Source organism: Homo sapiens, chromosome 8, assembly GCF_000001405.40.
Source record: "Homo sapiens chromosome 8, GRCh38.p14 Primary Assembly".
Taxonomy (NCBI): Eukaryota; Metazoa; Chordata; class Mammalia; order Primates; family Hominidae; genus Homo; species Homo sapiens.
Window position 1 is genome coordinate 28984471 of NC_000008.11, and position 15997 is coordinate 29000467.

At 35.1% G+C, this 15997-nt stretch overlaps 1 protein-coding gene across 35 annotated transcripts in view, besides 1 other annotated feature; it reads left to right on the top strand.

Moving 5' to 3' along the window:
- Positions 1 to 15997, top strand: part of HMBOX1 (homeobox containing 1) — a 163155-nt gene that overhangs the window by 94355 nt on the left and 52803 nt on the right. The window lies entirely within an intron of this gene.
- Positions 3213 to 3302: an enhancer, noted in NCBI's record as "active region_27177". NCBI's record gives its function as "activates an Ori minimal core promoter by ATAC-STARR-seq in GM12878 lymphoblastoid cells {active_cell/tissue: GM12878}" and the evidence as "EXISTENCE:reporter gene assay evidence [ECO:0000049][PMID:35858748]".

Consider the following 15997-nt stretch of genomic DNA (forward strand, 5'->3'; position numbering starts at 1 on the left):
AACAAGAAGTTCATGGGTGGGGTCTGTATAAATAATATCCTACTGATAGGAAAAATGACAGTATAAACAGGATATAATAACAGTGCCTGCTGAATTCCCAGCATGTTATTTGTAGCTTCTTTCACAGTCGCAGCTGTTCCCACCAAGGGTGGATTTTTACCTCTGTAAGAGGTCAGCCAAGATTCTAAATTCTCACTAACAATGGTGGGTTGGTAAGCATAGTCTTTGCTTTAGTAATAAGCACATGTATTCTGTATTCACTTTCAGGGTAAAATGTTTTCTTAGGCTGTTTAAGAATGCTTAAAACATAATTTTTTTTAATGACCTTTGGGAAAAAATTCAAGCATGCAGAATAAATGAGTAAATGGGCAGAGCTTGATCAGCGCTTATCAGCCAAAGAAATATACTAATTGGATGCATGTCCTCTGAAGAAATAAATACACAGAAGAAGAAAAAAACAGCGCCTCTGAATTTTAAGAAATTTACCATAATTTTGTTTTCTTAAAATGTAGTAGTATAATGAAGAAGTAACAGAATCTCAATGTTCTGGTCTTTCTGCCATAAAATAGCCTTGTGACCCAGAGTCTTATTTTCCTTATGTATAAGATAAAGGACTTTGACTAAATAGGTTCTTTCTTAGTTCCATTTGAGCTGGATGCTCTAACAAAATACCATGAACTGGGTGGCTTATAAACAACTGAAATTTATTTCTCACAGTTCTGGAGGCTGGGAAGTCCAGGATGAAGCCAGATTCAGTGTCTGGTGAGAGCCTGCTTTCTGACTTAAAGACCATGCCATTTCATTGTGTTCTCACGTAGTGGCAGGGGGAACGGGTCTCTCTTGGGTCTCTTTTATTGGGGCACTAATTCTGGTTCATAAGGATTCAACTCACATCACCTAATCACCTCCCAAAGATCCCGCCTCCTAAAACCATCACCTTGAAAGTAACAATTTCAACATAGGAATTTTAGAGGGACATAAACATTCAACCATAGCAGCTTCTATGTATCTTTTCTAGCTGTCAAATTCTATTCTGTTTTTAAGTTGTAAATGCATTTTATCAGATGTGCATCTTACCTGTACCTAGTGATTCTCATTCCCAAAACATAAGAATTTGTGTAAAGACAAGTTCTGAACTGGTTTTAGAAATGTTCCAGCTGTACTCAGATCACTGCCTTTTTAACTTATCTTTAAAATGTAGGATAAAACCACTGCATATTCTATTTAATTATAGCAATTTCTTTACAAAGGTAAAGAATTAAGTTCCCTAATCAGAGAACTTAAGATCAGACATTAAAAATCAACTAAAGTTTCAGTATATTAAGAAAAAATAAACAACAACAACCACTTCATTTTCTAGAGTCGTTTTAGGTTCACAACTGTCTTCTATACACCCCACTCTCCCACTATCACCATCCAGCCCCAGAGTGGTACCTTTGTTACTGTCAATGAACCTACACTGACACGTCATTGTCACCCAAAGTTCATAGTTTATATTGGTTTTGCACATTCTTTGGTTTCTGGACAAATGTTTAATGACATGTATCCACCATTGTAGTATCACACAGAGTTGTTGCACTGCCCAAAAACTTCTCTGTGCTTTGCCTGTTCATCCCCTTCTCCCCTCAACTCCTGGCAACCTTTTTATGGTTTCCCTAGTTTTGCCTTTCCAGAATGTCATATAGTTGGAGTCATACAGTGTGGAGCTTCAGATTGGCTTCTTTCACATAGTCGTATACAGTTCACATTCCTCCCTCTCTCTTCATGGTTTGATAGCTCATTTCCTTTTAGCACTGAATTATATTCCATTGTCTGGATGTACCACAGTTTCTCTATTCACCTACTGGATAGCATCTTGGTTGCTTCCAAGTTTTGGCAATTATGAATAAAGCTGCTATAAACAAGTGGAATTTCTATCTATATTAGTAAAGCAATGCTGGTAGAATATGTCACAGACTGTGGAATTGTCCTATTATAATACAACCAGAAATAATTATCTTGCTTATTTAACAAGATTTTATGAATTCCTACCTAATGGATTTTACCAGTTTTATGTGGATCTCCAATTTGAAGGCTATCACCTATCTACAGAATGAGTGGGCTTCTACATGAAAGATGTAATTCTCTCTCCAAATGGAAGAGGTTTAGAGTTTTTGTTAGGAGAAACCTTTTCAAATCTTCTTTGAATGTACTTCATTCACTCACGTTATAATTGTTTTCGCAGAGTGCATTTTGGGATTTTCTTTTGTTTTGCAGCCTCAGGGGAATAGGAACAGATGTTATTCCAGGGTTCAAAAAATTCTTACTTTTTAATCTCATTTCCTTCTATCTTATTCTTTAATTTTTTGGAAAACTATTTTCTTTTAAACATAATACATGAAGTTACTTTTTTTTCCCCTCAGGAAAAAAACCAGCCTTCACCACATCCAAATGCCCATATTTTCTTACTTTGTTGACAGCTAAGTGAGGAATTGGAGTGGAAATAATTTCGGAGGATATTTTTTGTTGTTTGAAAATCAGTTCTCTACAGTTATTGAAATTCCTTGTCCTGCCAGGGCTTCAGTCATCTCAAATGCAGTGCATAGGAGTCTACATTTTTGGTGTAAATACTAGGAAGACTCATTGTCAGGTATAAAATGGCATCTCTCTTTCACCTGTATATAAAGTAGAAACTGTATTTTAAAAAATGATATCCTACCACAAGCCCTGACAATGACTTGTAAAGGTTAGGCACAGATGTGGTTTTTCCCTCATTCAGTAATTATCATTTTTGTTTCTCTCCAGTTCTTGTTTCCTAAGATTATGGGGAAAAGCCTGTACTTAGATACAATGTTTCTTTGATTGTTGTGTGAAATATTTCTTGCCTAATGTAATTTAAAAATTGTTATATTAAATATGTTAATTGTTAAATATACAGGAATAAATGACAAAAAGAGGAAGTGATACCCCAGTAAGAAAGTCACAAGGTATCTGTGTGTGATAAAATAGCAAAACCTGAGATTCAGCTGTAGTCTGTTAGTCTTAAAGCAATATCATAAATATCATAAATAACTTCCTGCAGAAGAGAGACTCTGAAGAGAAAATAAATGCCATTGCTTGTAAATTCTAGATATGGTCCTTTATGCAGTAAAGAATTATCCTATTAACTCTTAAAAGTTTTACTCAGAGTGAGACCTTAAATCAAAGTGCTGCAAATAGTTTTGTCAGGAAGATGTAACACTATATTTAGTGTTACTAAATCTGCTTAAGTAAGGAACTGATGCTTGCACTAACCAAACTACAGCTGAGGGCCTTGATACCTGAGAGGCCTATAAAATTTTGAAGCAATGTTTCAAATTCTTTTGGCTTAGAAGAAAACTTTTAATGTCAGACTGTGTCAACTTCAGCTAAATTTAACTATATCATTTGATTCTCACAAAATAAACTTGGAGATGTACAGGGGAAATTTGTTTTTTCCTTTGTTTTTATCACCTTTATTAAGATAAAATTTACATAAGAGTATAGGTTTCTGAGTTGTACCAAACTTATACAGTGGTATAATCATTACCAAATTCAAGATATGAATATTTCAGTATTCCAAGAAGTTGTCTCATGCATCTGTGCAGTCAAATATTGTTCTCCCACCCCCAGTCCCTGGCAACCATTCATCTGCATTCCTTCACTATTGATTTGCCTTTTCTAGAATTTCATATCAGTGGAATCATACAAAACATACCTTTTATGTCTCCAACTTCTTTCATTTAGCATGATGCTTTTAAGATTCGTGAGTGTTGTTACATGTTTCAGTTATTTATGACTTTTGAATGCTAAATACTAATCCATTGAATGGATATAACAAAATTAGTTTACCCATTAATCAGTAGATGGACATTTGGATTGTTTCCAGGGCCTGACTATTTTGAACTAAGCTGCTGTGAACATCTTGTGTACAAGTTTTTGTGTGGGAATATGTTTTCATTTCCTTTGGGTAAATACCCAGGAGTGGGATTGTGGGGTTGTTGGTAAATATACGTTTAACTTTTTAAGAAACTGCCAAACTGTTTTCCAGTGTGGCTCCACCATTTTATCTTCCCACCAGCAAAGAATGAGGTCTTACTGCTCTGCATTCTCTTTGGGACTTGGTGTTTGTGCTTCTCTGTGAGTTTAGTCATTCTAGTGCAGTTATAATGATCTCTCACTCTAGTTTTATTTTGCATTTTTCTAATGACTGATTATGTTGAGCATCTTTTTATATGATCATTTGTTATTCATGTATCTTCTTGGGTGACATGTCTGTCAAATCTTTTGTCTATTTTTTTTAATCAGGTTGTTTGCCTTATTTATTATAAGAGCTTTTTGTTTATTCTGGGTACAAGTCCTTAAATATAAGATATACATATTTCCTAGTCTGAGGCTTGCATTTTCATTTTCTTAATATCTTTCAAAGAGCAAATGTTTTAAATTTTTATGAAGTTATATTTATCATTTTTTTTCTTTTGTGGTTCTTGCTTTTTGTGTTCTAAGAAAATTTGCTTAAACAGGACCAAGTGCGGTGGCTCACGCCTGTAATCCCAGCACTTTGGGAGGCCGAGGCGGGCGAATCACAGGAGGTCGGCAGTTTGAGACCAGCCTGACCAACATGGTGAAACCCCATCTCTACTAAAAATACAAAATTAGCCGGGCATGGTGGTGCTTGCCTGTAATCCCAGCTGCTCGGGAGGCTGAGGCAGGAGAATTGCTTGAACCTGGGAGGCAGAGGTTGGGGTGAGCCGAGATTGTGCCGTTGCACTCCAGCCTGGGCAACAAGAGTGAAACTCTGTCTCAGAAAAAAAAAAAAAGAAAATTTTGCTTAAACAAAGTCTCAAAGATTTTCTCATGTTTTCCTCTGTAAGTTTTATAGTTTTAGCTCTTACATTAGGTCAATGGACCATTTAAAATTAATTTTTGTGTTGAGATAAGGGTTGAGGCATTTTTTTTTCTTATAGAGATCCAGTTGTTGGAAAACCATTTGTTGAAAAGTCTAGCCTTTCCCCGTTTGATTACTTTGTTATCTTTGTGGAAACTCAGTTGGACATGCATGCAAGGTCTGTTTCTGGGCTTTGTATTCTGTTCTGTCAGTCTTTATGTCTATCCTTATACCAATACAAACTGTAGATTATTATAAGTCTTGAAATCAGAAAGTGTAATTCCTCCCAATGTTGTTTTTCCTTTTCAAGATCACTATTGACTTTATAGGTCTTTTGTATTTTTATGTACATTTTAAAACTAGCTTTTCAGTTTCTACAAAAAGCACATCTGTAGTGAGATTGGGATTGTGTTGAATATATAGCTCAATCTGACATTAGGAATTTACATCTTAATCATATCAAGTCTTAGTCTATGAACATAGTTTGATATCTCTCCACTTGTTTAGGTCTTTTTTATTTTCTCTCAACCATTTTAGTGGTTTTCAGTGTACACGTTTTGTACACATAAAATTCCTCTCTAAATATTTTATATTTTTATTGCTATTATATTGGTATTGTTTTTAATTTCAGTGCCCGCTTCCTTGTTTCTTGTATCATAGGTCAGTTGGTTTTATTATATTGACCTGTGAACTTGCTTAACTCATTTATTTGTTCTAGTAGCTTTAAAACATTTTTTTTGTTTAGGATTTTCTATACAATCATGTTATCTGTGAATAGAGATAATTTTACTTCTTCCTTTTCAATGTGTCTTCTTTCTTTCTTCTTTTTCCCCTTTATTGAACTAGCACTAACAGTTCAATCTTGAATAGAGTGACAAAAGCAGACATTCTTACCTTGTTCCCAGTCTTAGGGAGGAAACATTCAGTTTTTCATCATTAAGTATGATCTTAGCTGTAAGTTTTTCATAGTTGCCCTTTACCAGGATTCCTTTCAAGGAAAGCTTCTATTTATAATTTTTAATAGTTTTTATCATGATAGATGTTGTATTTTATCAAATGCTTTTTCTGCATCTGTTGAGATGACCACCTGGTTTTTCTTGCTTAGTCTTGTTAATATGGTAAATCACATTGACTTATATTCTGGGAAAAGTCCCACTCAGTTATGATGTATTATCCATTTTATATTATTTAATTTGGTGATATTAAGAATTGTCACATCTGTGTTCATGAGGGACATTCTGGGTTTATGTTTTACTTCCTGTGTTCTTTCTATTTTTTTGTTTTGTTTTTTGTTTGTTTGTTTTTTTGTTTTCTTTTTCAGACGGTGTCTTGCTCTGTCTCCCAGGCTGGAGTGGAGTGGCGCAATCTCGGCTCACTGCAACTTCTGTCCTAGGTTCAAGCGATTCTCCTATCTCAGCCTCCAGAGTAGCTGGGATTACAGGTGTCTGCCACCACACCTGGCTAATTTTTGTATTTTTAGTAGAGGCAGGGATTCAACATGTTGGCCAGGCTGGTCTCGAGCTCCTGACTTCAAGTGATCTGCCCACCTCGGCCTCCCAAAGTGCTGGGATTACAGGCGTGAGCTGCTGTGCCCGGCTCTTTCTAGTCTTACAATGTCCTTATATAGTTTTGTTATCATAATAACGTTGGCCTCATGAGATAAGTTGGGAAGTGGTCCTTTCTCTTGTATTTTCTGGAAGCATTTGTGTAGAATTGGTATTATTTCTTTCTTAAATGTCTTTGCAAATGTGCCTTTTTTTTATTATAGTGATTATCTTACACTGCTCATAATTTACTACCTGGATCTTAGGGCTTGTGCCCTGTACTGAAGTCAGCAGAATAGAATATAGAACAGTAGAGATTATTAGGTCCTTAATACTTTAAAGATTGCCAGCACTTTTCTACATGATTTTACTCATGGCAGGAATATTTTTCTCTTGCCAGTTGCCTAAAATAACAGATTTACTAACCACAAACCAAATTAAATTAGCTTTAGATACAGCAGTAGCCCTTTCCTTATGTCCTTGTGATGCCTGAGTAAAGAACATAGTTTTTACTTGCTAAGCTATGAGATTTTGCCGCCTGTAGTAGTTTTTAAAATATTGAGTGGCCTATCTCCAGATCTCCCAAACAGATTCATGAACACCATCTTGCTTTTGAACATGTCGATTTTAAAGTACGAGGCCAATATGATATTGCCCCAAGCTCATCATTGTTCTTGATGAGAAATGTAGTCCAGGATTCTTAGAAACTTTCTTAATGTGATCTTTCATTTAATGTTCTGTGTCATTTTAAGGACTAGAATATGCTATTTTCTTAAGTGTTTTTTTCTCCCTTGACAGTTTTAAACATATTGTCTTTTGCTTCCAAGCCCTTCCATTGCTGAACAGTTTTTGTAGGACAGTCTTCAGCTTTATCATTAAGCTGAATCCCTATCAACATCTAGCTGTCCAAGTGAGTTATAGATGGCCAGTGGCTCTGCTTTTTACTAGCCTGCACCCTCTTAGCTAACCTTCTTTTTTTAGGGTTTGTATTTTTAGCTATAACTTATTTAACACTATCAGGTGTTAGATGCCATGCCAACTGTTTTATGTACTTGAGAAGCAGGTGTTAACTTCCTCAGTTACAAATGAGAAAACCCAGGCTTAAGGGGATTGACTCATTTGCCAATAGTCATGCAGTTAATTGCGTTTGTTTTGCCACACAGCCACTGTTCTTTACATAGCAATTTGGTATATAGAGAAAATATGGTGCCATGGTCAAGGGCACGACTTTGAGGATGGACTGTCTGGCTTCAAAAATCTGATTTCCATCCCTTACTTATTATGTAACTTTGGCCAAATTACTGAATGTCTTAACCCTCAGTTTCTCCTCTTCTGGAAAATGGAAAGAATAACAACAGTACCTACCTAAACGGATTCTTGAGTGGATTAAATGAGTTAGTTTTGGTAAAGTTTCAAATGGCACATAGTAAATGCCATAGAAGTTTTTCTGTTATTATCGTTAACCATTATAATTGCTTAATTTTCAGCAGGCAATCATTTTTCATTCATGTCTCTCCAGATTGACTTTCCTAAAGCTAAGTTTCCTGAGGCTAAATATGTTAACCATAAGTTTTATAGCTTTGGGCCACTTGATAATGAACTTTTGAACAATAAATTTACTTTTTATGTTAGAAAATTTATTCATGTGGTTCAAACTTCAGAAGTACCTTTGGAAGAGTATACAATGCTGGCTGGGCGCGGTGGCTCATGCCTGTAATCCCAGCACTCTGGGAATCCGAGTGGGGTGGATCACGAGGTCAGGAGTTCAAGACGAGTCTGGTCAACATAGTGAATCCCCATCTCTACTAAAAATACAAAAAACTAGCCGGGTGTAGTGGTATGTGCCTGTAATCCCAGCTACTCAGGAGGCTGAGGCAGGAGAATCGTGTGAACCTGGGAGGTGGAGGTTGCAGCGAGCTGAGATCCTGCCATTGCACTCCAGCCTGGGTGACAGTGCGAGACTCTGTCTCAAAAAAAAAAAAAAAAAAAAAAAAAGGAAGAAGAGTATACAATGCTAAATCTCCTTTCTGTGTTCCTCAGCCATATCCCCTTCCCACATGAGACTAATGTTAACAGTTTCTTCAGAAATTTTATGCATTTATTAGCAAATAAGTATGTCTATTGTCCTTTTATGCCAAATCAACACCTAGTTTTTTTTTTTAACTTGGAAATGATTCCATATTGGTATATAAGAGTATTATCACTATTTTCAGAAAGAACATAGTATACCATCTTCTAGATACATAAATTTCAACTATTAATAGCAGTTAAGTAACTATTTTAAACTATTTTTGCCTTTATTCCACACAAAATAGACACTACTTATGTAACAAATTAAATAAGATATATTTTGATAAAGATTTAGATTTCAATTTGATGATAAATATATTATTCTTTAAGATATACATACTCTTGTATGAGTAGGATTTTTTAAAGTTTTGACTGTGTAATTTATCTAGGAATTTATCCTATAGAAATATTTGCTTATGTCTAGAATGATGACAGTACAAGAATATTTATTGCAGCATATTGTATGATAACAAAATGCTGTAAATAACCTACATGTCCACCAGTAAAGGCTAGCTAGGTAAATTATACTATATCTATACTATGGAGTACTATTTGTCCATTAAAGAATAAAGCAGCTCTGTATGTCTCCAGTGGAATGAAGAAGGGGGTAGGTTGTAAGGTATGGATGGAAGATGACTTATTTTTGTTCCTTTTGGATTTTGTACTCCATGTATAAGTTCTGTATTAAAAAAAAATTCCAGCACCAATTTTAAAAACAAATATTATGTCACAGACTCAACAATAATCTGTACCGGCCAGATTCAATTCAGGGGTTACCAGTTTGTTCATTGTGCTCTCTGATACCAATCAGAATCACAACAGGATTTTGTTGTTTTTGTCAACATGAATCTAAAGTTTATCTGCAAGAAAAAAATACATAAGAATAACTAAGAGATTGTTTAAAAAGAACAGGGGAAGGCCAGGCATGGTGGCTCACACCTGAAATCCCAGCACTTTGGGAGACTGAGGTGGGCAGATTACTTGAGGTCAGGAGTTCAGGACTAGCCTGGCCAACATTATGAAACCTGTCTCTACTAAAAATACGAAGTTAGCCGGATGTGGTGGTGCATGCCTATAATCCCAGTTATTCGGGAGACTGAGGAAGGAGAATCATTTGAACTCAGGAGGTGGAGGCTGCAGCGAGCCAAGATTGCGCTACTGCAATCCAGCCTGGGCGACAGAGCCAGACTCTCTCACCAAAAAAAAAAAAAGGCGGGGGGATGGGGGAGGAAAGAGTTGGCCAAATTTGCCCTACCAGATATTAAAATACACTACATAAGGTTAGAGTAAGTAAAACAGAGTCATTTTATTGTCAGATAAATGTATTAGTTGTACAGGATAGAGTTCATTAATAGATCCTTGGAGATGAGCAAATTTAGCTTAAATAAAGGAAGCCCTTTAAATCTGTAAGGAAATAATGTTTTTCCATTGATTCTTTGAAAATGAAAAAATAAATATAGATACCAACATTATACCAGAATCAAAAATCAGTTTTCATATGGATAAAGAACTAAATGAATATACTTTTTAAAGCTGGAGAAAAGATTCTACACTACTGTTAAAAGAAAATAATGAATGTTTTTATTATATTGGGATAGGAAAGGCTTTCCTAAGCAATACATAAGACCCCAAAAATAAAATTGTATGGGTCCAACTGCATAAAAATTTTAAGCATATATCCAGTAAAAGATACTGTAAACAAGATTCACATTGACAGGTATTTGTAGCATTATAGAGCAAAAGATTGGTATCTATGATGGTATCTCAAATGAGCTCTTACAAGTTATTATGAAAAATGACAAATAACCTAATAAAAAATTTGCAAGGGATAGCAGTGTGTAACTTATGCAAGACAAAATATAAATGGCCAATAAGCATATGAAAAGATGAAAGCATCTTAGAATATTAAATAAGAACAATTTAATTGCAAGAGATCAGGGGGGATTTTTGCCCATTAAATCAGCAAACTTTAGAAGATTGAGGGATACTACTGGTCCACTTCTGTCCATCAAAACCCAGCAAAGACAATAAAATAAACAAAAATATAAGAAAAACTAGTGAAGCCATAGCTAGAACCTTAAAACACACACCAAGTCAAATAAGAATTCTGGATCAAAACAGAGGAAAATGGTGGGAATTCTTGTATAGATACAGTCTAACATAGAAACCCATGCCCATCAGCAGTAATTTCCAGTCCCCCAGTCCTCCAAGCCCTGGTATGTACTAATATACTTTCTGTCTCTGCAGATATACCTACAGACAAACTTCCGGACATTTCATAAGATAGAATCATACACTATATAAACTTTTGTGTCGGGCTTCCTTTTACTTAGCATAATGTTTTTAAGATTCACCCATGTTATAGCATGCATCAGTACTTCATTCCTTTCCATAACTGAATAATATATCATTATATGTATATACTATATTTATTCATCAGTTGGTGGACATGTGGATTGTTTCACTGGCTATTTTCAATAATAATGCTGCTATGAACATTTGTAGATAAGTTTTCGAGTGGACAGATTCTCTTGGAAATGTGCCTAGAAATAGAACTGCTGGGTCACATGGTAATTCTATGTTTAATGTTTTGAGGAACTGCCAAAACTGTTTTCCATTTTATAAAACTACCACCAATGTATGACATTTCCAATTTCTTCACATACTCACCAACACTTTATGATAGCTATCCTAATGGATGTGAAGTGGTATGTGTCTCATTGTAGTTTTGATTTGCTGTAGTTTTGATTTAGTGAGTAATGCACTTTTCATGTGCATCTTGGTTATTTATGTATGTTTTTGGAAAAATGTCTAGCCAAATCCTTTGTCCATTTTAAAAATTGGGTTATTTGGCTGGGCGCGGTGGCTCACGCCTGTAATCCCAGCACTTTGGAAGGCCGCGGCGGGTGGATCACAAGGTCAGGAGATTGAGACCATCCTGGCTAACATAGTGAAACCCCGTCTCTACTAAAAAAAAATACAAAACATTAGCCGGGCGTGGTGGCAGGCGCCTTTAGTCCCAGCTACTTGAAAGGCTGAGGCAGGAGAATGGCGTGAACCCGGGAGGCAGAGCTTGCAGTGAGCCGAGATCACGCCACTGCACTCCAGCCTGGGTGACAGAGTGAGACTCCATCTCAAAAAAAAAAGGGGGTTATTCATCTTCTGGGGTTATTCATCTTCTTATACTTTTTATATTGAAGTGTTAAGAGTTCTTTATATAGGTTTATATAATATATTGAAGTGTTGAGTTCTTTATATTAGTTCATATATAAGTTGAGTTCTTTATGTAAGTTCATATACAAGTTGAATTCTTTATATAAGTTCACGTAGACACACGTGAGTAATGCACTGTGTATACGTGAACTTATATCTGATAAATCGCTTATCAGATATGTCCCTTAGCAGATGGAGTGTTTGCAAATATTTTCTCCCATGTTTTTGGGTTGTCTTTTCACATTCTTGGCTAACGTGATGAAACCTGTCTACTAAAAATACAAAAATTACCTGGGTGTGGTGGCGCATGTCTGTAATCCCAGCTATTTGGGAGGCTGAGGAAGGAGAATCATTTGAACCCAGCAGGTGGAGGCTGGGTTGTCTTTTCACATTGTTGATAGTGTTCTTTGAAGCACACAAGTTTTTAGTTTTGATGAAGTGTATATTGTTTTGTTGTTTTGTTTTTGCTTTTAGTATCATAGCTAAGAAAACGCCTATTCCCAAATCATGCAGATTTACATTTGTGTTTTCTTCTGAGAGTTTTATACTTTTAGCTCTTACATTTGCATCTTTGATCCACTTTGAGTTACTTTTTATATATGATGTGAGGAAGGGATGTGAACATTATATTAATGTGGATATCCACTTGTCCCATGTATTTTATTCTTTTTGATGCTATTGTAAGTAGAATTGTTTTCTGAATTTTATTTTTGGATTGTTTATAGTTAATGGATAGAAATAAGGTTTATTTCGTATATTGATCTTATATTCTGCAACCATGCTGAATTCATTTGTTAGTTCTAATGGGGTGTGTGTGTGTGTGTGTTTGTGTATTCCTTTGGGTTTTTTATATACAAAATCATGTATCTGCAAATAGAGGTAGTTCTACTTTTTCCTTTCCAATCTGGATGCCTTTTCTTTCTTTATCTTGCCTTCTAGCTAGAACCTCTAATACAATGTTTAACAGAAGTGGCAAGAGCAAACATCCTTGTCTTGTTCCTGATCTTAGGGAAAGTGTTCAGTCTTTCCCCGTTACGTATGATGTCAGCTGTTGTTTGTTCATATATACCCTATATCAGGGTAAGGAAGTTTGCTTCTATTCTTAGTTTTTTGAGTATTTTATATCATGAAAGACTGTTGGATTTTGTCATGCTTTTTCTGTGTCTATTAAAATAGTTATGTGGATTTTGTCATTTATTGATGTGACTGTATTACATTGATTTTCGTGTGTTGAGTAAACCTTGCTATCCTGAGATGAATCCCACCTGGTCATGGTTTATAATCCTTTATATTTATATATGTTGTTGGATTCAGTTTGCTAGCATTTTGTTGAGGAGTTTTACATCTGCATATGTAAGGGACGTTAATCTGTAGTTTTTTTTGAGACTGGGTCTCACTCTGTCGCCCAAGCTACAATGCAGTGGCACCATCAGGGCTCACTACAGCCTTGACCTCCTGGGCTCAAGTGATCCTTCCACCTCAGCCTCACAAGTAGCTGGGGACTACAGGTGTGCGCCATCATGCCTTGCTAACTTTAAAATTTTATTTTGCAGAGATGGTGTCTTCCTATGTTGCCCAGGCTGGTCTTGAACTCCTAGCCTCAAGTGATCCTCCCTCCTTGGCTTCCTAAAGTGTTGGGATTACAGGTGTCAGCCACCAGGCCCAGCCTGTCTATAGTTTTCCTGTGGTGTCTTTGTCTGATTTTGGTATTAGGATAATACTGCTTCATGGAATTGAGTCAGAAGTGTTTTTTCCTTTTTTATTTTTATAGAAGAGTTTGTGAAGAGTTGTTAATGGGTGTATGTGCTTTAATTATTTTTTATATGCGTGGTAGAATTTACCAGTAAAGCATTCTGGCTTTTCTTTGTGGGAAGATGTTTGACTATGAATTCAATATCTTTACTTGCTATGTAACTCTATTCAGATTTTCTGGGCCTTGAGTCAGATTCAGTAGTTTTTTCCTACAATTATGTTCGTTTCATCTGGATTATGTAATTTGTTGGCATATAGTTGTTCATATAATCGTTGTTGATCTATGTATTTGTTCTGCCTATTATTGAAAGTGGTATATTGATATCTCCAACTATTATTGTTGAATTATCTCTTTCTGTTTTCAGTTCTGTCATTTTTTGCTTTATGCATTTTAGGGCTCTGTTGTTTGGTATATGTACATTTATAGTTATATCTTCCTCGTTAATTGAGCCTTTTATTATGTCTTATTTTTTCTAGTAACAAGTTTTATCTTAAGGTCTATTTTGTCTTACATTAATATTTAACTGTCACTCAAGTTCTCATTTGGTTATTTTTATATGATATATCTTTTTCCATTCTTTTACTTTCAACCTAATTATGTCTTTGAATCTGAAATGTATCTCTTATAGACAGCATGAAGTTGGATTGTGTTTCTGCCAATCTCTGTCTTCTTATTGGAGTTTTTAATCTATTTAAATTTAATTTAATTATGATAAGGAAGAATTTATATCTGCCATTTTGCCATTTGTTTTCTATATGTGTTTCATCTTTTTGTTCCTCTGTTTGATTACTTTCTCTTTTGTGTTAAATAGATTGTTTTCTCATGTACAATTTTAAATCCCTTGTCATTTCTTTTGCTATATTTTTCGAGCTATTTTCTCAGTCATTGCCCTGGAGATTACCATTAACATCTTAATTTATGACAATTAATACCAACTTAATTTTAATAGTATAGAAAAACATTTCTCCTATAATAGGTTAATTTTTGTCTTATAAATTACATTTATATATTGTGTGCCCATCAACTTAGATTATAATTATTGCATTATATAGTTTTCTTTTATAAATAAAAAAGGAGTTATAGACACAAAATATTTAATTATACTCTCGTTTATGTTTACCTACATAGTTACCTTTACTGTCACTCTTATTTCTTCAGGTGTATTTGAGTTACTGCTTAATGTCCTTTCCTTTCAGCCTGAAGACCTGCCTTTAGTATTTCTTACAGGGCACATCTGCTGAGAGCATATTTTCTGTAATTTTACTCATCTGAAAATGTCTTAATGTCTCCTTCCCATGGTTTCTGATGAGAAATTAGCTGTTTATCATATTGAGCATTGCTTGTATGTAATGGGTCACTTCTCTCTTGACACTTCAAGATTTTTCTGTTGATCTTTGGTTTTCAACAATTTATGATGTGTCTAGGTATGGATTTCTTTGAGTTAACCCTACCTGAAGATCATTGAGCTTTTTAGATGTGTGCATTAATGTTTTTCATCAAATTTGGGAAGTTTTGGTCACTATTTTTTCAAAATATTCTTCACTTTTCTCTCTGTTTCTTGGATTCCCATTATATGTGTATGTTGGTAAGCCTAATGGTATCCCACAGGTTTTTGAGCCTTTGTTCCATTTTCTTCATTCTTTTTTTCTTTTTGTTCCTTATAATAGATCATATCCATTGACCTGTCTTCAAGTTTGCTGATTATTTCTTCTTCCAGTTCATATCTACCGTTGAGTCCTTTTAGATAATTTTTCATTTTATTTTTTATACTTTTCAATTCCAAAATTTCTATTTGGTTCTTATAATTTTTGTCTGTTTATTGATATTCTGTGTTTGGTAAGGCATTTTTCTCATACTTTCCTTAGTTCCTGAGACATGTTTCTTTTAATTCTTTTAGTCTTTAAAATGGTTAATTTAAATCTTTGTCTACTAAGTTCAATATCTGGATTTCTTCTAGGACACTTCTTATTGACTGCTTCTACTGTGTATGAGCCATACTTTCTTGTTTCTTTGCATGTCTCATAAGTTTTGTTTTAAAACCTGGAAATTCTAAGTAATGTGGAAACTCTGGAAATCAGATTCCTTCCTCCCTTGGATTTATTATTGCTGTTGTTGGTGATGTTTGTTTAATGAATTTCCTGATTTAACATTATAAAGTTATTATTCTTTGTGGTATGTAGCTGCTGAACTATCTTCCTTGTCAGCTTAGTGGTCAGCTAATTATTAGGTAAAAATTTCCTCAAATCTCTAGAAACAATAAGTCTCCCAGCTTTTGTCAAGGGGCTCTCTCTGTGTATTGGGCATACCTTTAATGCTCAGACAGGCAGCTTATAATTCTGCGTAAACCTTCACTTTCTCTTTGTACTAGGTCTCAAGGTCAGCCAGAGGTGAGAGCTTCGAGCCTTCACGGGTCTTTCCTATACATCTTCATAGCCCTATACATGTGCACAGCCCTATACAAGTTCATGACCTTCTAGATTCCTAGGAATATGTCATAGCTTTTTGAAGACTCTCGTGGACATCTCATACCTC